The sequence below is a fragment of the Homo sapiens genome, chromosome 17 (assembly GCF_000001405.40).
Source record: "Homo sapiens chromosome 17, GRCh38.p14 Primary Assembly".
NCBI classification, from domain to species: Eukaryota; Metazoa; Chordata; class Mammalia; order Primates; family Hominidae; genus Homo; species Homo sapiens.
The window spans coordinates 11,358,107-11,383,584 of NC_000017.11; the positions used below are offsets into that span (position 1 = coordinate 11,358,107).

The following is a 25,478-nucleotide window of genomic DNA, read 5'->3' on the forward strand; positions in this document are numbered from 1 at the left end:
TCCACACTGTTGTGCAAACAATCTCCAGAACTTATTTATCTTTTAAAACTAACGCTCTGTGCCCATTAGACAACAGCTCCCCATTCGCTTCTCCCCACAGCTCCTGGTAACCACTCTTCTGCTTTCTTTCTCTATGAACTCAGCTACTAGTCTAGGTACCTCATATAAATGGAGCCATACAGTATTTGTCTTTTTGTGGCTTCTCTCACTTAGAGTAATGCCATTAAGTTTCATCCATGTTGTAGTACTTGACAGGATTCTTTTTTTTTTGAGATGGAGTCGCTCTCCTGTCGCCCAGGCTGGAGTGCAGTGGTGCGATCGCCACTCACTGCAAGCTCCGCCTCTTGGGTTCACGCCATTCTCCTGCCTCAGCCTCCCGAGTAGCTGGGACTACAGGCGCCCGCCACTATGCCTGGTTAATTTTTTGTATTTTTAGTAGAGACAGGGTTTCACCATGTTAGCCAGGATGGTCTCGATCTCCTGACCTCATGATCCACCCACCTCGGCCTCCCAAAGTGCTGGGATTACAGACGTGAGCCACCGCACCTGGCCAGAATTTCCTTTTTTTTTTTTTAAAGAATACGTCTCACTCTGTTGTCCAGGCTGGAGTGCAGTGGCGGCGGGCATGATTTTGGCTCACTGCAACCTCTGCTTTCTCGGGCCCAGGTGATTCTCCAGCTTCAGCATCCCAAGTAGCTGGGACTACAGATGCCTGGCAAATTTTTGTATTTTTCTAGAGACAGGGTTTCACCATGTTGCCTAGGCTGGTCTCGAACTCCTGAGCTCAAAGCAATCTGCCCACCTTGGCCTCCCAAAGTGTTGGGATTACAGGGGTGAGCTACCACACCCAGCCCAGAGTTTTCTTTCTTTTTCAGGCAGAATATTATTCCATGTGATGTACATACCACATTTTATTTATCCATTCATTCATTGATGGACACTTGGCTTTCTTCTCCATTTTGGCTATTGAGAATAATGCTTCTGTGAACATGGGTGTACATTCATGGTGATTTTTGACATATAGGCTTCTAAAAATTTTTGTGAAATCTGACCTATGTGTCCTCTTTTTTGTTGCTTGCTTCCTTGCTGTCATGTTTAAGCATGTCTTGCTCACCCACAATTAGAAAAAGCACTTTTTAAAATTGTCTTCTATCATCTCATTTTTTCTTATTAAATTTAAGGCTATAACTAAACCATATTTTCTTAAATAGTGTGTGCTTTACTCAGAATATATTTGTTTGCAAGGAATGCAAACCCAGTCAAAATACTGCAGACAAAAGGAAGCTTCTTCAACAATACATCTCATGGCTGCAGAGTCAGCTGGGCCTTCCAGGAGCAAATATACCATTGGGCAAGCTATGTCCCTCTCTGGCCTCTCTCTCTGCATCAACTCTCTTCTCTCTGGACCAGGTTTTTTGGCTTGCACACAGTTTGGGAGTTCACAGAACTCTGGATTGCGTGTGACTTTGAAGTGTCTTGACAGGGACTCCAGCTCTAATTCTACATGATTTTAAATGGTGCAAATACTCTGACAAGAGTATTTCAAACTCTTAGTTTATAATCTGGAGAGGGAGAGAAAGAAAAAACAAACTGGTTCACCCTTGTCCACGGATTGGTTTTCTTTGTGTCTGCTGTTTGTTTTGGGCCCAAACAGTTCTCACCGGGAAGTGGGAGAGGGTCATGTGATACAAGCAACAGCAACAAAAAACAAACAAGAATCTCCAGGCCTACAGAAATAAGAACGCTTTTACACTGTTGGTGGGAGTGTAAATTAGTTCAACCATTGTGGAAGACAGTGTGATGATTCCTCAAGGATCTAGAACCAAAAATACCATTTGACCCAGCAATCCCATTACTGGGTATATACCCAAAGGATTATAAATCATTCTACTATAAAGACACATGCACATGTATGTTTATTGCAGCACAATTTACCATAGCAAAGACTTGGAACCAACCCAGATGCCCATCAGTGATAGACTGGATCAAGAAAATGTTAGCACATATACACCATGGAATACTATGCAGCCACAAAAAGGATGAGTTCATGTCCTTTGCAGGGACATGGATGAAGCTGGAAGCCATCATTCTCAGCAAACTAATACGGGAACAGAAAACCAAATGCCGCATGTTCTCACTCATAAGTGGGAGTTGAACAATGAGAACACATGGGCCGGGCATGGTGGCTCACGCCTGTAATCCCAGCACTTTGTGAGGCTGAGGCGGGTGGATCATGAGGTCAGGAGTTCAAGACCAGCCTGGCCAAGATGGTGAAACCCTGTCTCTACTACAAAAATACAAAAATTAGCTGGGCGTGGTGGCAGGCATCTGTAATCCCAGCTACTTGGTAGGCTGAGGCAGGAGAATTGCTTGAACCCGGGAAGTGGAGGTTGCAGTGAGCCGAGCCTGTGCCACTGCACTCCAGCCTGGGTGACAGAGCAAGACTCTGTCTCAAGAAGGAAAAAAAAAAAAAAGAGAACACATGGACACAGGGAGGGGAACATCACACACCGGGGCCTGTCCGGGGGTAGGGGGCAAGGGAAGGGAGAGCATTAGGACAAATACCTTATGTATGCGGGGCTTAAAACCTAGATGACAGGTTGATAGGTGCAGCAAATCACCATGGCACATGTATACCTGTGTAACAAATCTTCACTTTCTGCCCATGTATCCTAGAACTTAAAGTAAAATTAAAAAAAAAAAAAAAGAATCTCCAGGCCCACACCTTTCCCAGGAAATTAATGTGGAGCTTCCAAAAGGGTATATGGGGTGGCAGGCACCCTAACATGTCTGTAAAAGAAACTGTTGAGGTCACTCTTGTTTTTCTCAAACAGAACACCAGTACTCCTTTTTCTCTTTGTTTTCTTTTTCCCCCACTGATTTGAATGTCGTCTTTATCATATTCTCATTCCTTAAGTTTACTATGATCTTTTTTCCTGTTTTTTTTTTTGTGTGTGTGTTCCATTTATCTATTCTTATGTCAGTGCTATACTGGTTTAATTATCATAGCCTTACGTCATATCTAGTACAAGTTCTCCTTTATTAAATCTTTTTTCAAAATGTCTTGTCTCTTCCCTACGTTAGTTTTTTTTTCCAGATAGATTTTGGATTCAATTATTCTGCTTTTTAGTTCATATATACATTGTTTTCATTAGACTTGTTTTAGAACTGCTAGTAAATTAGTCTGAGGAGAATTTACACTTTCACAATATCTAATGTGTGTACTATTGCCATGCATTTTTAAATAAAAATAAATTGAATTACATTTAATAATTTAGAAAATTTTTAGGGCATCGTGGAACCTAGGAACTTGATCCACTTTGTCACCAATGGAAATATAAAGTTAATCTCACCCAGCTCCCTACTGAGTGAGTGAATATTGTCTCTCATGCATGTCCGTGGACTGTAACTCCAAGTGAGTGAAAAGCTGAGGTAATTAAGTGGGTAACTTAGGGGTAGGCATTGACTTGGAGGCAAAAGCAGTTTTAGATGTTTTGCTTACCCAGTTGATGGGGCCTTGTGGCTGGTTAACAACCATTCAGCACTTCCCTATGTGTGGATAAAACATGAACATTCCAGGGCTCAGAGCTTCAATTCATTAAAATGTGAATATGGGTATTTGTTAATTAATTCAATGAACAATTAATGAGCACACACCATGTGCCAGGCACTGTGCTCGCTGCAGGGTGGCAATAAAGGTGGGACTTGGTCCTTGCTGCACAGTAAGTAGTATTACATGTGCTCACCAATAATAACAACAGAGGCGGAATTCTATCGGTACCATAAAGCACTGTGCTGTGGAAACTCAGAGATGGGGTCAGCTCACAGCCATCCAGATTCAGGGGACCTTTTTCCTCTCTGTTTCATGGAGGGAACAGACTACAAGCCATAGCCATTTGATCAACCGAGGGGTTTTCCAGGCCCAGGATCAGGTGTTTTTTGACATATTATTCTTTTCATTTTCTCATCATTAAGCATGATGCACTTTCTCATCATTAAGATCTCCATTCCTGGGTTCATATTCCTGGGCCTAGTTTTTCTTTTAGAGACAGAATCTCAGTCTCACTCTGTCACCCAGGCTGGAGTACAGAGGCATGATCATAGCTTACTGCAGTCTCAAATTCCTGGGCTCAAGCAATCCTCCTGCCCAAGCCTCCTGAGTAGCTGGGACTACAGGCACGTATCACAACACTCAGCTAATTTCTTTAAGTTTTGTAGAGACAGGAGCTCACTATGTTGTCCAAGCAGGTCTCAAACTCCTGGCCTCAAGTGATCTACATGCCTCAGCCTCCCAAAGCATTGAGATTAACAGGCCTGAGTCACTGTGCCTGGCCAGGCCAGTTCTTTTGAACGTAATCTCTGTCGACCTGCTTTCTGATGCTTCTACCAATTTCACTTCCTTGAAATATAATACATCTTGATTTCTAATGGCAGCCCGATGCTCCCGAAAGACCACAGCCTTTGGAGTAAAACTAAGCTTTGCTGAAATCCTTGCTGCTTATATTACTGGCGGTGTGGTTTTGGACCAAATTTCTAAAACGAGGAAGATTTAATTTTCTCATGTGCCATATGAAGGTAATTAATACATCTTATGTAAGACTGTTTTAAGTGTTCAATTAAATGAGATTTTATATAAAGCTTGCAGTCTAGCGCCATATCCAAAGTGGTGACCATTTTATTAATATTTGCCCTCCCTTTGGATCAGAGGCCTCCTAAACCCAGAGATTTATCACACGTCTTCTGGTTTTAGCCTGACTTTCTTTACCTTTCCGTGAAACAAATTCTTTTTACTTAAATTGCTCTGTTAGAAGGAGTTCTGAACCTTAAACTCCTTGTCAACTGTTGCACTGAGTTTATTAGTGGAATAAATGTCTTCAGGCCCACTGCTGAAATGGATACCCTCTGCCTCCTAGCATGTCCAGTCCACTTTCTGGTGCAGTCTCTTTCCCTCATTCCTCATCCTTGTGAGCCAGCTCAGAAACTACAGCTTTATTAGAAGCAGAGCTAATGCCTCTGCTCTGAACTCTTTCCACTCAACATTCTTCACCAGGAATCCTTTCTCCATTCCTTCCTGGCCAGCTCCAGGGTACATTTCTTTTTTTTTTTTTTCCTAAGAAAACCTGCTGGCCTGTTTATTCTTATGGGGTCAACTCTCCTGGTGTCACATTCCCAATCTCTGGGAATAGTCTTGCTTGCAGAAGAGTGACAAAGACTATATTTTTGAGCAGTGTTGTGGAAAGGAAAGAACATTAACCAGACTTGGAGGTAGGAAATAGATGGGATTAGACTAGTCTTGCCCTTTATAAACACTGTCTGTTTTACAAGGCACTTTCTTTTTCCAGATTTGTTTTCTCAGTTTTCTACTGAAAGAGTAAATATTGGTGGTTTCTAATTTTCCTCTCAGTTCTGGCGGTCTCTGGATTATAAACCTAATTGAGTGCAAGCATTTAAAGAAATAAGAACAGTTGCCTTCCTCTTGTTGTTATAGTTGGGGTGCAAATAAAAGTTTAATGCAAGGATTTAAAGGATGGATTTTTAAGATTGAGGTATTGAGGTAGGAGGTGGGACTCGACTTCAGACCAGCTTGAAGACTGGCTGAAACAGGGAAGAGGCACTGAAAGCTCTTCTCCATAAGACACGCCCACCAGTGCCATGACAGTTTGCTATTGCCGTGACAACACCCGGAGGTTACTGCCCCTTTCCATGGCAATGACCTGGAAGTTACCTCCCCTTTTCTAGAAATTTCTGAGTAGCTTGCCCCTTAATTTGCATGTAATTAAAAGTGGATATAAATCTGACTGCAGAACTGCCCCTGAGGTGCTACTCTCAGTGCACTGCTTAAGGAGTATCCCTGCTCTGCAGGAGCAGTCACAGAGCTGGAGCACTGCCACCTCAATAAAGCTGTTTCCTTCTACCACCAGCTTGCTCTTGAATTCTTTCCTGAGCAACGCTAAGAATCTTCCCCAGCTAAACCCCAATTTGGTGACTTGCCTGCCCTGCAACAGGTAAACCTAAATACTAAAATACATAAAGTGTATTAATCTTGTGTATATAACTTAATGGATTTTTCCTATCTATTCAACTATCCATCTCCCCCTTATCCAGCACCTAGAAAAAAAATAAAGAACGTTTCCATCACCCCATAAGTTTCCTTCATGTTCCTCTCCAGTCTAAATTTAACCCCCAGAGGTAGCTACTATTCTGACTTCTGTCATTATCAAATAGCTTGGCCTAATTTTTGTTTGCTTGTTTTTTGAGCTTCTTTCAAAAGAACTTTGGTCTTGGTCTTCATACAAATGAAGCCATGTGACATGCATTTTTTTGTGTGTTTGGCTTTCACTTAACGTTATATTAGTGAGAGTTACCCATATTGTTACATCTGTCACCAGTTCACACTTTTTGAAGTATTTCACATAATTTTTCACATAAGTATTTCACATAAGTATTTATGTGGTATATTGTAAATATGCCACAGCCTATTTATTCAATCACCATTTGATGGACATTCTGGCTATTTTCAATTCTTTTACTATTTTAAATAAAGCTGCAATAAATATTCTTGCACATGTCAATTGACGGACATATATTCATTTCTCCTGGGTAAATTTTTAGATTTGGAATTGCTGGAATATAGAATGGAAATATTTTATCTTCAGAACAAACTACCAACAAGCTTTTCAAAGTGGTTTATCATTTTGCATTCCCACCAGCAGTGTATGAGAGTTCCAGTTGCTCCACATCCTCACCAACATTTGGTATTGCCAGTCTTTTTAATTTTAGCCATTCTGGTGAGTGTAAGGTGGTATTACATTACAGTTAAAAGTGTAGACTTTCTTGAAGCCATGAAAAATCTGTATTTGAGCCCTAGGTCTTCTATTCATGAGGTAAGTGAAGGGGAACAAGAAACCTAAACACTCTGAGACTCAAGTTTCCTCACCTATAATACAAAGGATATTCTTGACCACCTCAAGAAGTTTTCTGAAGATTAAATGAGGTAGTGATTACAAAGCAGAAGCTCTCGCTCATAAATACTTAGTATTAAATAATAACTATTATAGCTACTGTTATTATCATTATTATTATTACTACTGCAATTGATACTATTCAGGTAAAGAAATCCCTTATTCTATTAAGGTTGTCCTACATATAAGGATATTATTGGTTGAAATTATTATTATTATTATTATTTGAGTTGGAGTCTCACTCTGTTACCCAGGCTGGAGTGCAGTGGCACAATCTTGGCTCACTGCAACCTCTGCCTCCCAGATTCAAGCGATTCTCTTGCCTCAGCCTCCCAAGTAGCTGAGATCACAGGCACTCACCACCACATCCAGCTAATTTTTGTATTTTTAGTAGAGATGGGGTTTTACCATGTTGGCCAGGCTGGTCTCAAGCTCCTGACCTCAAGTGACCCACCTGCCTTGGCCTCCCAAAATGCTAGGATTACAGGCGTGAGCCACTGCACTCAGCCAAATTATTTTTAAAGTTATATTTTTATGTTATAAAGTTTTCTTAGACAGTTGACAGGAATTTAATAATATTGAGAGAAGTTCATTTAGTCCGTTAATCCATTGGCAACTATCAACAGATATATCCTATGTGCCCAGCACTGCTCTAGGTACAGGATATCCCTCTTGTGGAAGCTTTAAGAAGGGAGATGGACAATAAACAATAACCAAGTAGGTGAACAAGATAGTTTTATAGAATGATACATGCCCTTGATGAAAATACAGTAATGTGATAGAGAATGTTGGGGAGCCTACAATAGATTGGGTGATTAGAGAAAGTCTCTCTCAGGAGGCAAGCCTTACAATAAAAATCTAAATGATTAACAAGAATCTAGGTTTACAAACATCTGAGGACAGAGAGTTCCAGGAAGAGGGAACTGCAAGTGCAAAGGATGTAAGACAGGCATAAGCTGGGAATGCTAGAAAAACAGAAGGAATTTGCTATGGCTATAGGGAGCCAAGGGAAAAGTGGTGTGAGGGAGGGAAGCTGGCAGGGCCATGGTGTGTAATGTCCTGTAGATTATTTTACATTTGTATATATGTATATTTTTGAGACAAGATCTCATTCTGTTACCCAGGGTGGAGTGCAGTGACAGGATCTTGGCTCACTGCAACCTCCACCTCCCGGGCTCAGGTGATCCTCCCACCTAAGCCTCCTGAGTAGCTGGGACTACAGGCACATGCCACCATGCCCAGCTAATTTTTTGTAGAGGTGGGGTTTCGCCTTGTTGCCCAGGCAGGTCTCAAGTGCCTGAGCTCAAGTGATCTGCTTGCCTTGGCCTCAGAAAGTGCTGGGATTACAGGCATGAGCCACTGTGCCCAGCTACATTTGTATGTTAAGTGTAATATGACGCCTTGGAAGATTTTAAGGAGAGGCATAGAATGAGCAGATGTCTATTTTTAGGAGAAGACTTTTCTGTGTGTTATGCAGAGAATCTAGAGAGTCGATGGAAGTGGGTAAGGAGTGGAAGCAGGAAGCTCAGTCCTCCTGCTGTAGCAGGTCAGATGAGGGATGGTGGCAGCACTCCTGGGAGGTGGCAGGACAGATGGAGAAGAGTGGGTGGATGTGAAATGAAGCTTGCAAATCGTCCTGATGGGCCTTGCTGATGATAGGGAGGAGAAGATGAAGAGAGGAATAAAGGCTCTAGAACAGAGGAAGCAATGACAAGAAAGACTGGAGGAGAAATGGTGTATGTGGAGGGTTGCAGGAATAAAGTTTTCTTTTGGCCATTGTCATGGGTTAAATTTTGCCCCCATAAAAGATATGTTGAAGTCCGAATTGCTGAACCTTACTTGAGATCAGGATTTTGGCAGATATAATCAAATTAAGATGAGGTCATACTGAATTAGGTTGGACTTTAATCCATATGATAAGGATTTATGGTGATAAGAAGAACGGAAAGGAGAGATGGACAGACAGACCTACAGGATGGGCAAGAGGGAATTGAGGACAAACTGTGAGGCAAAGAAAGTTACTATCAGCAACTCTTTTGACATTTCATAGAGAAGGACAGTGGAGAAATGGGACGGTGACTTGGCTGGGGGAATGGGGTGAAGGGAGAATAGAACATGTAAAGTCATAAGAGTTGAGAAGTTTCAGTATGAATGAGCCCATTGAGGGAGAGAAATTGATGACTGAGGAGGAGAGGGAGAATTTCAGGAGCTAAGTCCTTGAGATGATGAAAAGGGATAGGCCATGCTTGGAACAAGGACATTGGACTCACTTTCATAGCAGGGAGGACAGAGAAAGGGGATGGCTGTAAATTCCCTGTGAACAACAGAGTTCCTTTCCGATGAGGCAAGGTCATGAGTTGAAGGGCACAGAGAACAGGGAACACTGGAGGTTTCAGGAACAGCAGAAACTATAAAAAACATTTGGGAATTGGAAGAACCAACATTCCAGGGAAGGAAAGCACAATTCCCAAGAGGTGAGGGGCCCTTTGAAACTTGTGGTTCTCAATTCTAAGAGACCCTGGGCAGTCACAGTGATATTGGTGAACACACCCCAGGTGCTGTTCTAAGCCCTTTACATCTAAAGTCCCACATCTACTAGATGTAGCTGGTGGGCTCTCACCACTGGCGGTTTTGCTGAGTGAATGCATGGAATGAGATGGAGGCTGAGGATGCTGAGGATGGACCATGCCAACACAACTGGATAAGGAGGCAAGGAAGGCTCAGGGTATAACAGTCTGCAAATGAAATCACCTTCCTACTGGGCATTACAGTCTGAAAAATAGTTTAGCCCCTCAAATTTTCTCCCTCTCCAATTGTTTATTTTGCTCTGGGTTGGAAAGTTCTCTCTTAGGTGCTTGGGAAGAGGTGTGGTCCCTTGAGCAGATGCTGGCCGGACAGCTCCCCCACCTAGAGTGCTTATAGTTCCATCATCTTCCCAAAGTTGAATTAATCTAACCCCAAGTCACTCACATGACCCACTTTTCCAAAGAATCAAGAGACAATAGATGACAAAATCCCACAAGACGCTCTATACACGTGACTACATTTGGACAATACAGTACAAGACTCGGTGTGTCCAAGCAAATTCTGTCTCAGAGCCAAGGACATGGTCCAACCCACACAAACATGAAATTTCCCAGCATGTCAGGAGCAAGACAGGGATCACAGAATCACAGAGGAACCAGTGCAGGCAGGTGTGAGATGGAGCGCTTCCTTTTGGAGGTGAGATGAGCTGACGTGTTTTCTCCTACTAATCTTAATTAGCGGGTCTGTTTTTTCCAAAGCACATTCAGGAGAATCGCAGTGAGTGCCCTAAACCATGACATTACCAGCATGAAAACTGATACTCTCCCAGAAGTATGGGGTAGAGAAGAGTCCTTCCTGGAGCTTTGAATAATTTTGGACTTAAGACTCTTCCTTGACTTTCTCCCTGGAATATTTTGAAATATTCAGTATACTTGAGTTTTGCTCTTCTAGTAGTAATGGTAGTAGTACTAGTAATGATAGTAACTATTTATCAAATAACTGTAAGGGGCACTGTGCTTTATATGAATTGTTGGGGTTTTTTGTTTTTCGTTTGTTCGGTTATTTATTTATTTATTTTTTGAGACAGAGTCTTGCTCTGTCGCCCAGGCTGGAGTGCAGTGGCACAGTCTTGACTCACTGCAACCTCTGCCTCCCAGGTTCAAGTGATTCTCCTGCCTCAGCCTCCTGAGTAGCTGGGATTATAGGTGCGTGCCACCATGCCCAGCTAATTTTTGTATTTTTAGTAGAGACAGGGTTTCACTATGTTGGTCAGGCTGGTCTCGAACTCCTGACTTCGTGATCCGCCCACCTCAGCCTCCCAAAGTGCTGGGATTACAGGCATGGGCCACCGAACCCGGCCGAATTATTGTACTTAATTTAGTCTTCATCCCTTCCTCATGAGCGAGGCACCATTCCCATTTTACAGATGAAGATAATTTAGAAAGCATGAATGGTTCATCCAGAGCCACACAGCTAGTCCCAGAACCAGAAAGACTTATTGGAAGTCTATGCTTTTATCGCCTCTATGTTACTGAGATATGCCTAGGGCCATTTGGCACTTCAGGCTTAGCTTTTTTTGCAAGTATGGTGGAATGAAAGGAACTCCCAGCATAGAAAGACAGGGAATTTAGAGTCCATCCTAAATCACAGCTTAGTCACTTTGTGACTTTGTGTAATTATTTAACCTCTCTGAGACTTAACTCTTTTGGCAAATAGAGAATGTCAATATTTTCTTCACACATTTTCCTCTAGATGTTAAAAGGCATTCATCACCAATGTCTCAGTCCAAAGGCACATGATAAAATTATCTAAGACGGTGGCAGTTTCTCAGGATCATTTAGTTAAAACTCATTCATTTGGATTCACTCATAGGACGCTCAGTGTTTTTGCAGAATGTGAGAAGAAGTCAAGAAACAGAGAGGAAAGCAGGTCTCAGTTGCCCCATGGGCTAACACACCATGCATCTGCAGGGTGACAAGAGGAAACTGACAATTCCTTCATTTCTTAATAGAGCCATGAGGTCTAACCTGTATTCTCATAAGACGCTGGGTGCAAAGAAAGAGTTGTTCCTCCCTGCAGAGCACCACATCGTTTGCCTCTTCTGCCCGGCTCTTTTCAGGGTTTGTCTTGGCCAGGGTCCTGCTTATGACAATGCAACAGCTCTGGGATGCTGACCAGTCAGAGACAAGAATTTGGTTAAGCTCTGGGCATCTTTCCAAGGGGATTACAGCCAGCATATCTGAGGAGAAAATAAATGGCGCGCTGGGGTCCCCTGAAATAGAACTCAGCCTTTTGCGTTGTTTTCTCAGACTGTGGGCTGCTAGGCACATTGAATGTGCCCAGGGCTGGGAAATCAAAGACACTGACTTTAGTCCCCACTTAACAGTCAACACCTCCATGACCTTGCACTGTTTACTATCCTTCCCTAGCTCCAGTTTCCTCATTAGCAAATAGAGGGGCGAGAAAAGGTGACCTTGAAGACTCTTTCTGTTGCAACATTCTCTGACTTTATCTTGATGGCAGGGAGTAAGCAGAGGGTTTAGCCCCTCTAAAACCTCTTAAGATCACCACCATCAAGCACTCCTCTCCCTCATCCCTGTGGCAAATAGTTAGGATACATGAGAGGTATGGTTTTCAAACACTGTATTTTTAGCCATGTAACTTTCTTAAGATAATATCTTACCTGAAAGCCTATATAATATACAGGAGACCCCATAGTGGAGCTCCTCAATTACAACGGGTGAGTTGACCTACAGTTTGCCCTTGACCCTCCCCTTCTTTGCTCTTGGTCTCAGCTGGAGACGTCCATGGATCCCATATTTACGTTTTTGTTTGTTTCTTTGTTTTTGGTTTCAAACACAAAGCACCAGTTTAAAAACAAAATCCAAACCAACAAAATGATGATTTGGGGGACATTTAGTTGAATCGAAAGAGGTTCGCTTACGAACTGCTTTCGGGAGGATCCACCCACTCTTTGGATGGCTATCAAGCTGCATTCTAGGTTCTTAGTCCCCACCCCATCTTGCCTGTGCTCCTCAAGCTTCCGTATCTGATGAGATCTTCTGCTTTCTCTTAGGGCAGATGACAGGATGAAAGCACCATCTTGGAAGTCAAGAGTATGCGTTTCTGTTTCCAAGACTATCTGCCTTTGTGACCTTGAGAATGCCACTACTCACCCTCTTTGGGTTTATACTTCTTTAGTCCAGTGAGAGTGTCGGGTAAGGTGGTCCCTGAATGGTTCTGACAAGCTGGGATGGTTTATCCTGAGCCTTCCCATCTGTGGACACCTTGCATTCACCTGATGGGCTAGGCACTTAGCAATGGTCCCCTTTGTTTCCGCCAGCAGCAGTGTAGGCAGAGGGAAGACAACCAGAGAGGAGATCTTTGGGGTGCCCAGAGTATTTGCCAACAGCTCTTCTAACTCTGCACAGACTCTGGAGGACACAGTCTTCATGGGCTTATGTGAGCAAGCACTAGAATTGTCACATGAAATAACACATCCCCAGTTGCTGCTCTCTGGAGATTTTTGCACTAGCTAGTGTCAGTGCAATCTCCAGTTAGACCTGGCCTGCCCCAGTTTACCTCGGTAAGAGCAAGCTCAGAAGCTGCCTTGTTAGTTCAGCAAAAAGTTAATGCAGAGAGGAGCACAGGTCTCCTGGCTCCCAGCCCCCTTCTCATTGTATAGTCAGGGTTGTGTATTCTTGGGAACTGGAAGGAGCCCTGGGGCTTCCTCAGGGAAGGAGCCCTCAGGCCAGAGAGCAAACCCCGGGCTCTCTCCAGCTCCCTTTTCCCTTGACTCTTTATGGCCTGAGGTCAGCTTGAGGCACATGCAAGGTAAGAGGACCCCAGGGAGGTACATGGGAAAGAGGAAAACTGTGGTCTTAATGCAAAGAGCAACTCCCATTTATTGAGGGCTTATTTGTGCAGAGTATTAGACGAAGCACTTTATACACAGAATCTCATTTAATCCTCACTGCCCTCCTGTGAGGTTAGGTATTAGTATCTGTGTTTGATAAATGCCTTGTCATTTACACATGGAAAAGTGGCCCCTCTCGTTTCCTGGCCCTTGTACTTCTTTTTATAAAATAACGTTATTAGGTTTTTGTTGTTGTTGTTTTCAAATTAAAAAGTACAGAGAAAAACAACAAAAAAAAATGGCCCATGAGCCCACTTTATAATCCCAGATAAACTCTAAATATTACAAAAATTAAAATAACACGTTTAGAATATTCAAAAATTAAAGAAAATAATAAAAATCAAAGGCAAATGCCTCCCTCCCATCAGCCCCACCCCTCTCCTCAAAGGAAAGAAAGTTTTAATAGATTGTGTTCATGATTATTTCCAGAAAAAAATTATTGTTGGTATAAATCATCATACCTGGAATGGACCTATAGATATTTCCTTTGTATGTTTTCTTTTTATTGTTATTTATATAAAAGAAGTCATACATAAGCATTGCTCTGGGTCTTGCTTTTTTGTTGTTGTTTTTTCAACTTTCTGTATCTTGGAAACCTTCCTACCAGCACATACAGCTCTGCCTCCTTCTTTTTAACAGCTGCATAGTATTCCATCATGGATGTTGGATTCCAGTTTATTAAGTTCCTCACTGGCAGAAACTATTTGCAATGAATCCTGCACTGTCTAGCCTGGTTGAGATATTATGGAAAATTTTGAGGGCATGTATGTAAGGTAAATTTCTAGCAGCAGGAAAATAGGTCAAAGGCATGCCCTTCAAATTGGCACTACTGATTTTCACTCCCACCAGTGGGAATGAGGTGCCCATTCTCCTGGCACTGGGTATCATCAGATTCTTCAGTTTTGCCAAACTGATTGGTTTTCTAAAAAGGTATCTTATATTTTGCTTTGTGTTTTCTTAATTGGGAGTTAAGGTTAATCATATTTTTAAATATCCATTAGCCTTTTAAAACATTTTCTTTCCGTGTGTAGTGGGGTACTACCTATTGCTTTTCTTTTTTTTTCAGTTTTTGTATATTTTTAATGTGTTTTTTCTAGTTATTATTTGTTCGTTTGTTTGTACCTGTGTGCCTTTTCATTATTGACATGCTGGAGTTTTTTGTAAACAAAGGGAAAAGGCCTTTATCTCATGTATTGAAAGTGTGTCACTGGGGTATAATATGTGTTTTATCTTTTGTCTGTGGTATATTTTTCCATAGAGAGTTTCAGCCGTGCATGGTTGTACAGAAGGGCCTAAGCACCATTCAAGCTCCCTCTCAGCTTGTCAGAGGCCAGCTCTGTGCCTGTTCTGAGGGCACATAATGCATTTCAAGCAGGCTCTAAAGATGGAGAATTGCTCCCCCACCCCTCAAGCTACTTTCGGTTTTATTTCATGACCACAGTGTACTTTTATTACCCTGTTTTTACACCAGATTTTCTGGGGCAACTCCAGTATCATTTAACTTTATTTCTGTCAATAAAGATAACTCGTTAAATGCTTAAAAATGTGTAATCTAGTTTGCCAATCTTTTCTTAATGAATTTGGGATTTGTGTACTGCTTGAAGATTACAGATAAATACATTCATGTTTTTAGAAATTCTAGAGTTTTTTTTTCTTTCTTGGTGGATTTTTTCATCAGGTCTATTTTAATTCTCCCATCTATGGTGACTCGTGGGTATTTTAGTCCCTGAGTTCTTAAAACTGGACACTCTTTGTGGCCTTTATTCTTAAAGGATAATTTGGCAATGAATAAAACCCTCAGGTAACAGCCACTTAACCAAAAGCCGCCAATCAGTCTATCCATCTGTCTATCCATCTATCCATCCATCATTTATCTAGATTATAAACAAATAAAACAAAAAATTGTTTAATTGTCAAGCAAGTCTCCAGCTACCCAGCATAGGAAATGAAACAGAGAAGTACCTTTTATACTTTTTCTCAATTACATTTTTCTTCTTACCTACAGAATTATCTGTTATATTAAAATCTCTATCATTTCAATGAATTTCTTTGTATCTGTATAATACTACATATGCACGCATCCTCAAACAACATAATGTGTTATGTTGCATATTTTAAAACTCTCTCTGTGTCATGTCATCCTGCTTTTCTTGTTTGCTTTGTGCATTCATCATTATGACTGAGAACCATCCATGCTGATATTTAGAGCTCTGGTTCATTTAATTTCATTACATTTCATTTGTACTGTATAAGAATACATTGTGTGAGTACACCACTATTTATGACTTTTCTCTGGCTGGGAAGATAGATTCTTTTCCCTAATTGTCGGTATTACAAACAATATTGCAGTGAACATGCTGGTGCCTATCTCCTTATGCACGTGTGAGGATTTATCTAGGTTATATACCTAGAAGTAGAGTGGCCAGTTTCCTGCTATATCCACATTCAACTTTATTAGCCATTGCCAAAGTTCTTTTCAAAGGAGTTGAACCGATTTACACTCCCAGAAAGGTACATGAGTTCTTGTTTCTGCTTATTCATGTCAGTAGGCTCAGGCATTTTAATTTTTGCTAGTCTATTGAGTGTGAAGTGATACCTCATTATGGTTTTAATTTGAATTTCCCTATTACTTGTGAGATTGAACACTACTTTATGTGTATTTGCCCTTTGGGTTTTCTCTCCTTTGAGTCGCCTATGCATTTCTTTTCCCTATTTTTTTAATTGGGTTGTTTACTTTCTTATTAATGTGAAGTTATTTACGTGCTCTAGAAAGTAATGTAAATATACATTTTTAGTCTTTGACTTGTAGTTTCATGACTGCTTTTGATGTACCACAGTTTAAAATTTTTTTTTGTTTTCTCTCTAGTTTTTGACTTGAGTCTTGTTTAAAAATTCTTACTCTGAGATCATTAACATATTCTCTCTGATTCTTATGTGACAGTTTTTAGTGTGTGATTTTTTTTTGTATTTAGCTTCTTAGTCCTTGACTTGATTTCTGTGTATGTGTTTTTGTGTATATTTGCATGTATGTTTATGTTTGTATATTTTTCCCCTATTTAGTGAAAAGTCTGGACTTTTTTGTGAAGAAAGCTTTTCTATTCTCCTTTCTTTTCATTATTTTCAGTGAATTTTTAGGTAGAGGAATGGAATCAAAACATCTTCATTCAAAAATAATAGCAAGCTCTTATCCTAAATAATACTAGTAGCCCTTAAATAGTAATAGTACTAGCACTTAATACTAGTACTTAAATAGTAGTAATAGTAGTACTTAAGTAATACTAGTACTACTGTTCTAAATGCTTTGTGTATTCATATTATATATAACACATATATAATTCATATTATATGTAACATATATAATATGAAATGGGCGTCATCATTGTTTTCATTTCGCATTTGAGGACACAGACACACAGAGGTTTGAATCTTGTCAGTCATTTCCAGATAAGAGTGTCCCTCCACCAGTATACTGTCCCACCTCTACAAAAATGAAGGGGTCAAAATTCTTAAAAACGTTGCTGCACTTTCTGTAGGTTTTGTGTTTTATGATGTTGGCTTGAGTGTTCTCCTTTATTTTTTAAAATGGCATTTCACCAGGGTATATCTAGATATCGGTCCCTTTTAATGCATAATCTGGTACTTGATTATTTCTTTTGATCGAAAGACTAAAGTCTTCCAATCTGTTCAGAAAAAAAGAAAAACTATTAACTTGTAATTATTGCTTCTGAACTCTCCCTTTTGTCTCTCCTCTGGGAGTCTTATTTTAAATAGATATGACTCCTGAAGTTGTCCTCTGTGCCCTGTCTTTTCTCCCACAGTTTTTATCTCTTTGTCCTTCCCCTCTGAGTACCCAGTGCCTTTCTCTCATTGGACTCTCCTTTATCAGCTTCCTTGTGTATCCGTTCTCTAGTCCAGATCTGCAACCCGAGGCAAACTGTCCTGATCAGTTTGTTTCCCCCTTATGGCTGTTGGTCTAATCTCACAGATGCAAAATTCTGTTAAGTCTTTACAGAGATCACCATTTGGATATTATCTCATTTTTTTCCCTCCTTTCCTTACAGCAAATCTGTTTCACAGAGAAACTTTCCCTCCACTTGCTTTCTTATCAGAGTCAGCCGTATCACACACTCCAGGAGCCCAGCCATGGTCCTCTCTTTAGCTTGAATCTGCCTCCTGCCTGGGGACAGTTGTCCGTTGGTGCTGTCTCTAGGACTTCTGAATTGTGCTGAGATTTGGGAAAGGCATGGAGTTCTGACGGGAGGTCGAGGCAGCCTGAGCAGCGACTGAGCTAAAATAAAATCTTTGTTGCTTTAGGGAGGGTTGTCAGTGGTGAAGGTGAGGGGGCAGTGGCAGAACTGGAGGTATAGACATCACCAGGATGCTGATTTGCACCATTCAGTTCAGCAGGTGGTGGAAGGCATGCTCTGAAACCTGAAACCATCCTGGTCCCTGGCTGTGGACTGTGTGTCTGTCCGTCCTGTGACATGGAAGTGCTTATGCTTCACGGAACTTTGGCTTAACTTCTGTTCAGAGCTCTGCTGGATATACATGGTTGTTTCTCTTGAACTGCAATTTGGTCAAAGTTTGCCCTCTTTTGTCCTCTTACCCTGATAAGTGGCAGATGGGCAGAGACTGCAGGACAAGGAAGGGGGTGGTTCTTTGTGTTACAGCTAACAAATCCTATGATACCCACTCATATAATCATGAGTTCATATCATCAACCCATTAACTCTATGCATCACCAAGGAAAAGAAGAGGCACTGACTCCCCTCTCTTCTGTCTGCCTGCATGGGGCTTCATGTTTTTTTTTGTTTGTTTTTTTTTTTTTGAGACGTCTCGCTCTGTTGCCCGGCCTGGAGTACAGTGGCGCGATCTGAGCTCACTGCAACCTCCACCTCCCAGGTTCAAGCAGTTCTCCTGCCTCAGGCCTCAGCTTCCCGAGTAGCTGGGACTACAGGCCTGTGCCACCACACTTGGCTCATTTTTTGTATTTTTAGTAAAGACGGGGTTTTGCCATGTTAGCCAGGATGGTCTCGATCTCCTGACCTCATGATCCACCCACCTCGGCCTTCCAAAGTGCTGGGATTACAGACGTGAGCCACTGCGCCCGGCCTGGGGCTTCCCTTTTAACCAGCCCTTCTTCTCTTCATGCCTCCCTGGTTCATATTAAACTTTGGAGGCTACAGAGAATGCAGATCATTCTAGACCTTGACCCTGGGTCCAGCAGAAGACTGACCTATCACTGGTCCAAACATAGTGGTTCATGAAGAGTTGTCCTTGGACCTAAGAGCATTATTAGCATCATCTGGGAACTTGTTAGGAATGGAAATTGTCAGGCCTCTCCTCTGACCTACTAAATCCGGGATTCTGGAGCCGGGACCCTGCGATCTGTGCCATCCAAGAGAGTGTGGTGCACGCTCAACTTTGAGAACCACAGTTCAAATGAAAGCTGAAACTGTCATTGTGCTTTTTCCACCTCAGTCTCATGAGCAGCTTTACCAAAAAGTGTCCCAATGGATGGCTTTGAAAAACATAAAAGCTTCATAGACAGTTCAGTGATCACTGCCTTGTGAGAAGTCCCTAGACTTGGTTTTTATGTAGCTTTTCATTTCATTGAACTCAACATTTTCCAAACTGATTTGACTAAAGAATTCTTTACTCCTTTCAAATGCTCTTGGTGCTGCCTCATTATGCCCCAGCATTTTTTCTTTTTTCCCAAAGTGCTGGGGTTACAGGCATGAACCACCACCCCCAGCCTAATAATTCTGTTCTATAAAAGTGAGGGTTGTGGCCACAGTATTTTACAGCAAGAATGCTCCTCCTGGAAAGCTGTGTGCCCTAAGGAAGGAGGTAACTTATTCCAGAAGGGAGGGTGTGAGGGAAACAGTGGCAAGATTCTCCTGTTCCTGATGCACGAAGGCATTACTTCTCAGAGTGTGGTCCCCAAAACAGCGGCATCCGCATCACCAGGAGACTTGATAGAAGTGCAGACTCTTGAGCCCTGTCCTGGATCTTCTGAATCAGAAACTCTGGGAGTGGGGCCCAGCACCTGTTTTAAGCTCTCCTGGCTATGCTGAGGCACTCTCAGGTTTGAGATCTGGGGTAAGAGGGAGGGAATGGAGCTAGACTCCACTCTTCGGAGGAAGAATGCTGAAGCCCTGAACATAAATTGTGGGTAGAGCTGGGCGCCTAAGAGGTTTTCATTGAAGTCACCTGAATAAACTGAGCTTAGTTGTTCCTCCATTTACACTAAGGCAGTGGTTCTCATTTCCGGTGGCACATTAGAATCACTAGAGAGTGCTTTAAAAATATACCTGCCTAAGCCCGGACCCCACTCAATTGAATCAGAATCTCTGGAGTTGAGTCTGAGGGTCTGCATTTTTAAAAACAAATTTTACTTTAAGTTTCAGCATACATGTGCAGAACGTGCAGGTTTGTTACATAGGTAAACATGTGCTAAGGTGGTTTGCTGTACCGGTCAACCCGTCGTCTAGGTTTTAAGCCCCACATGCATTAGCTGTCTGTTCTAATGCTCTCCTCCTCGTCCCCCAACTCTGATTCCAGCACGCACCCAGGGTTGCAATCTACTGATCCAGAAAGTGGCATTACAAAAAATCACGCTTTGTGTTGTCTTTGTATTTTCATAAATTTTTCCATTAGGCATTTATTTTACCTATTTATATGAGACAAATTACATATTCATACGGAAAAAACACTTGGAAAATATAGAAAAGCTGAAAAGACAGAAGAAATAGCACTCGTGTTCCTACTATCCAAAGACATTTGTCTTTGATATGTTTGTGTGCTTTTTTTCTATCTTGTGTGTGTGTGTGTGTGCGCGCACATGCACGCACTGGTTTGAATTTTTACAGCACTGTGATTCTGTTTAATGAACCGTTTCTGTCCATTTTTAAACTTAACATTATATCTGAAGTAGGCCTGTGCATTGTTATAGTTATACATACGATTTTTAATACACTCTTTTGGTAACATGAAAGAAATGGTTTTTTCACATGTACATACTTTAGGAGGGCATTTAGGGAGGCCTTTCTTTTTTTACAATGCCTGTATTTCAAGCGTACTGCAAAATCCTATTTTGAATGTCAGAAGTAGAACATTAACTCGGTTCTCTTTGAATTTCTATCCACAATCCTAACCTGCCCTCTGTCTTTTCCTCCCCACAAAACCACAGGTAGATCTCTGCATTAAGCAGGCAGGGGATAGTGTCTGCTGCATAAAGTTAAAGAAGCGAAGCACGTATATATTTTCTCAGTATTTTGTAACCACCATTCTATTTGTCAGCCTCAGCTGCTGTCGGATTTCTCTGAAGTCACGAGCTGTAGTCCCACAGGTTGTGGTATGATTCATAAACATTAGAAAGAAAAAACAAATGAATAATGGATGAAAGAGACAGAGGGAAGGTGAGATAAAGGAAAGAGTGGTGGGACAAATAGACTAAGGTTCTGGTGTACCTTGCGCTCAGCCAGAAATGCCAAAATCAAGCCGTGTATCTCGTTTGTTCTCCTATACTTTCAATGTAATGTAATGTTCCCAGGACTTTGTTCTTTGTTGCACAGTTTTATATACATATATGTGTGTATATATACTAATATACTAGATATATATATAAGTATATATACTAATATATACACACATATATGTATAATATGTATATATAATTATATATGTGTATATGTATATATATTCAGTAATATATATATTTTTCATATATAATATATATTTTATATGTATGTGTATATATATTCTTGGCTGCCTCCACCTTCTGACTTAGCTGCTGGTTTGAAAACATGCACGCCATCACTGTTGGGTGAGATGCAGCTGCGCTTGTCTTCCATGTTGGTGTCGTGGATGCGCCAGGTAATTCTGCCCCATCTTCTTGCAGGGCATTATGGGAAGGATGCTTACCGAAGTGGAGGACCTGATCTCCATAACTTCATCTCATCTGGATTTGTCACATTAGGAAGAGGACACACCAAGGGTACAGTGGAAACCATTTTTTACTAAAATACAGAGGTTGCCTAGGGAACGCCATCTGAAATGAGAAGATGGTGTGGAGGCCAGAGGCTTGTCTGGGACAGGAATAAGTGGGGTGGTTCCATGGCAGCTTGTCCTGGTGACATGCGTGGCTTCTGACAGGAGTTACTGGAGGTCACAGGTGTGACTTTAGAGGGCGATAGACTTCCAAGAGACACCCATCCCACTCCACCCATGGCGGGGACACAGATGCCGGCGGCTCCTTGTGGGAAGGGACCACAGGGAGTGTGGTGGAAAACTGCCGGTGGATGTAGCAGCATTTGCAATGTGTGTGTTCGCCTCTTGGCTATTATTCCTTTTCCTTTTGAAAGCTACATTTTATAAACCAATGTCAATGTTCTGTACTGTGGTATCTAAGCCGGTGTGCATGTGGAGAGTTTCAGCATCCTAAGTGTGTCTCCATAAACACTCTATGATGTGGACACAAAGGTAGAAGGTTATGCAGACCTTCAAGCCTCAAGATGAAAGCTAACCTAGAGTTTCTGCTGAGCTGCTTTACAACCTAGCTGACAGCTTGCAGAGCATCTGTGCAGGGGGCATGGACTCCTCCTCAATTCTGTCTTTTGTTTAAACAAGGTCCTACGAGTGTTGTGAGCATTCTGTCACATCAAGAGTCACTGGATCCCTAACTCCTTTAATTACCGTCCCAACACCTGTGTGCTGTTATAGATCAAATGTGAATTCTGTTGTAGGGGTAGTGTATCCCTGTCTTCCCCTGAGATACGTGTCTTGTGTGAGTAAACAAGGAACTGTGCAATATTTTCTTACATTCCATGCACCTACTTTTTAAATTCCTTATGTGATGTTTGTTCATCCTATAGAGAAAAAAAAATCTGTATCTGTGTATGTATTTTCTGTTGTGTCTATTTGTGTCTAAATAAAGTTTATCGAGGATACAGGTGGCATTTGTGGCTACTAAGAGTTGCAGAATCAAACTGAGACCAGCTATCTCCAGAATGGGAAATGGACTTCACATTTACTCACTAAAAGATACATTCTGGGCCATAGTCTATTAACTCAAACCTGGGATTGCTGGTCCCCACATCATCCACTTTGTGATTATTACCTAGCACTGTGAGACAATTTACTCTCAAACTTAGCGTTTTAAAACAGTAATAAACATCCGTTATCTCACATAGTTCCTGTGGGTTGGGAACCTGAGTGCTTTGGGCTTGGAGTCTCATGAGGTTGCCATCACCACGTCAGGCAGGGCTGCCTCCTCTGAAGGCTTGACTAGGGCTGGAGGATCTGCCTCCAAGACGCTTCACTCACATGGTGCTGGATGTTGGCAAGAAGCTTCAGTTCCTCCCCGTGACATTCTCTCCCTGGGTAGCTGAGTGTCTTCACTGCATGGTGCCTGGATTTCCTCAGGGTGGGTAATCAGAGAAGGAGAAAGACAGAAGACACAGCGTCTTTGATGACCAATCCTATCAGTTGCACGCCATTACTTTTGCAATATCTTATTCTGAGTGGGTGGGAACTACACTGAGTTATGAATATCAGGAGCCGAGGATTGTTGGGGGCCAATTCGGAGGCCAGCTACCACAAGCCTACAAACCTTGGAGCAGAGGTGGAAATATGGATTTCCAAACAGAACACGGCAACTGTTAGGGAGGTTTCTCCACTGCAGTGGTTCCCCACCCTTTCCCCTACCCCTTACTCTTATAGGTGGTCCAACCCAAAACACCCAACACTTCAACCAACAGAACTCTTTATACATATAATAAATATGATGGCTTTGGGTTCATGCTTTCTTTCAACAAATATTTAATGAGGCCTGCTATGTGCTAAGCAATATTTAGAAGTTATGGAGTTTATGGAGTTCCTTACAGAACTCACATTCCACTGGGAGAAACAGACAAAATAAATTATTGACAATAAGTGCAAGGAGAAAAATTAAAGCAGGCAGCAGGGAGTGCAGTGGCAGGAAGCTGGTCTTCCCAGGGAAGGCCTCTCCAATAAGGTGGGAATTGGGGAAGTAGAAAGGAGGCCAGTCTGAGTACAGCAGGATAAAAGAGGACCAGAGTGGAAAGAGAGAGGATCCAAGCCATAGGTGAGCCAGATCATGCATTTATCCAATAGTGGACGTTAAACTGCTTCCAAATGAACTGGACTCCATCAGAGCCACATGAAGGTGATTCCCAATCCCTGTCTGTTCTTTCAGTCACTGCTGCTGGGGGCATCCAGGAGACCCTCCCCTGCCCATGCCTGTGGGGCTGTGCTGTGTCTGATGCTCCTTATCTCCCATCTTAATTTGTTCTGTGGCACCACCTGCCCCTCCTGTGCGTGCATTGCTTGTTCTCCCCATTCACTATTTGTGCCATATTTTTCTCCCCGTTCCTTTCTCTACCAAGGCTTCTGACACCTTCTCTTTCCAGGAATGTACCTTGTGTGTATTTCCCTATTTAGAGAACAGCTAAAGTTTCAAGAACAAAGAATCTGGGTTTGAGGTTGGTGGTTGGGGGTAGTGGGTGCAGGCAGACTTCGGAAATGGAGATTCCGTTTTTTAGAGAGAGAGAGAGAGGGAGACAGGGTCTCACTCTGTTGCCCAGGCTGAAGTACAGTGGCACAATCATAGCTCACTATAACCTCGAACTCCTGGGCTCAAGTGATCCTTCCATTTCAGCCTCTTGAGTAGCTGGGACTACAGGCGCATGCTCCCATGCTCAGCTAATTTAATTTTTTTTTATTTTTGTAGAAACAGGGTCTCACTATGTTGCCCAGGCTGGTCTCAAACTCCTGGCCTCAAGTGATCCTTCCACCTTCCCCTCCCAAAGTGCTGAGTTTATGGGATTGAGTCACTACATCTGGCTTGAACTTCCCTTCTAATGTCAGGGACTCTTTAGTCCTCTGGACAGCTGGGATCTCTGGAAAAGGGCAAGGAACCATCCTCTCTTCCTTCAGAGCAAACTAAGTTCAACTCTAAGTGCTAGCTGTAAGCAACTGGCCCCATGTAAATATCCCATGGAAGGGAACAATTCAGAAACATCTAATGTGGGGTCACTTTCATTTGTATGTGTTTAATTCTCTTTGTTTTATTTCTCTATCCTTTGTTTCAACTTCAGTGACTCTCTTTCTGGATCCTCTTCCTTTATTCCTTTTTCCCTCTTCATCCAACATTTTCCTCCAGCCTCCTGGTGGCATCTAGCCATTGCGTTGCCCCATTTTGACTCTCAGGACTAAATGGGTAGCCAACACCTGCTTTGCAAGGTAATACCATTGCCCTACTAACCCAGATCACTTAATTTAATGTGTATTTCTAATCAGACTCTGATTGTCCAAGAGCCAAGAATGGATGGTCCTTGTTCTAAGTGAAGATGGGAGTCTTCATTGGAATCTTAGTCGACATCAGTCCTGTCAGCCTTTTTTTTTTTTTTTTTTTTTTTTTTGAGACGGAGTCTCACTCTGCCACCTAAGGCTGGAGTGCAGTGGCACGATTGTGGCTCACTGCAACCTCTGTCTCCCGGGTCCAAGCAATTCTTCTGCCTCAGCCTCCCAAGTAGCTGGGACTACAGGCATGCGCCACCTTGCCTGGTTAATTTTTGTATTTTTAGTAGAGACAGGGCTTCACCATGTTGGCCAGGCTGGTCTCAAACTCCTGACCTCAGGTGATCTGCCCATCTCAGCCTCTCAAAGTGCTAGGATTACAGGCATGAGCCACCATGCCCAGCCCTGTCAGCCCTTTTTTATAGGCTCTAGAGGCAGCTTGGAGACAGAAGCACCGTCTAGCATCAGCGGGGGCTCTTCCACTTCAAGGGCCTGGGGGTAAGAATGCATATGGATCTGTCTGCTTTGTAACAAGATCCATAGTTCATGGGTAATTAAATAGTCTCAAAGGAAGCCTGCAATAAACGCGTATTCTTTTGTTAGTGGGATTGAGAACGTGAGATCTTATAAAACATAGAATTCTGCCTGTGGGAGCTCCATATCCCTCAAAGGCCTCTACTGTCTCTCCCACCTGTTGGTAGAGCCTTCATTTTTGTCTAGAAGGTCCCACAGTGATTGGCCAACCCCCCAGG

The 25,478-nt window shown here is 42.2% G+C and overlaps 1 protein-coding gene across 3 annotated transcripts in view; it reads left to right on the forward strand.

Moving 5' to 3' along the window:
* Positions 1-25,478, forward strand: part of SHISA6 (shisa family member 6) — a 322,851-nt gene that overhangs the window by 116,894 nt on the left and 180,479 nt on the right. For 2 of the 3 annotated variants that reach the window (NM_207386.4, NM_001173462.2), the window contains exon 3: positions 21,308-21,403. The exons of the other annotated variant lie outside the window; for it this stretch is intronic. In NM_207386.4, coding sequence (NP_997269.2) covers positions 21,308-21,403 — 96 coding nt within the window. The remainder of the gene's footprint in view (positions 1-21,307; positions 21,404-25,478) is intronic. 3 annotated transcript variants of the gene reach the window in all.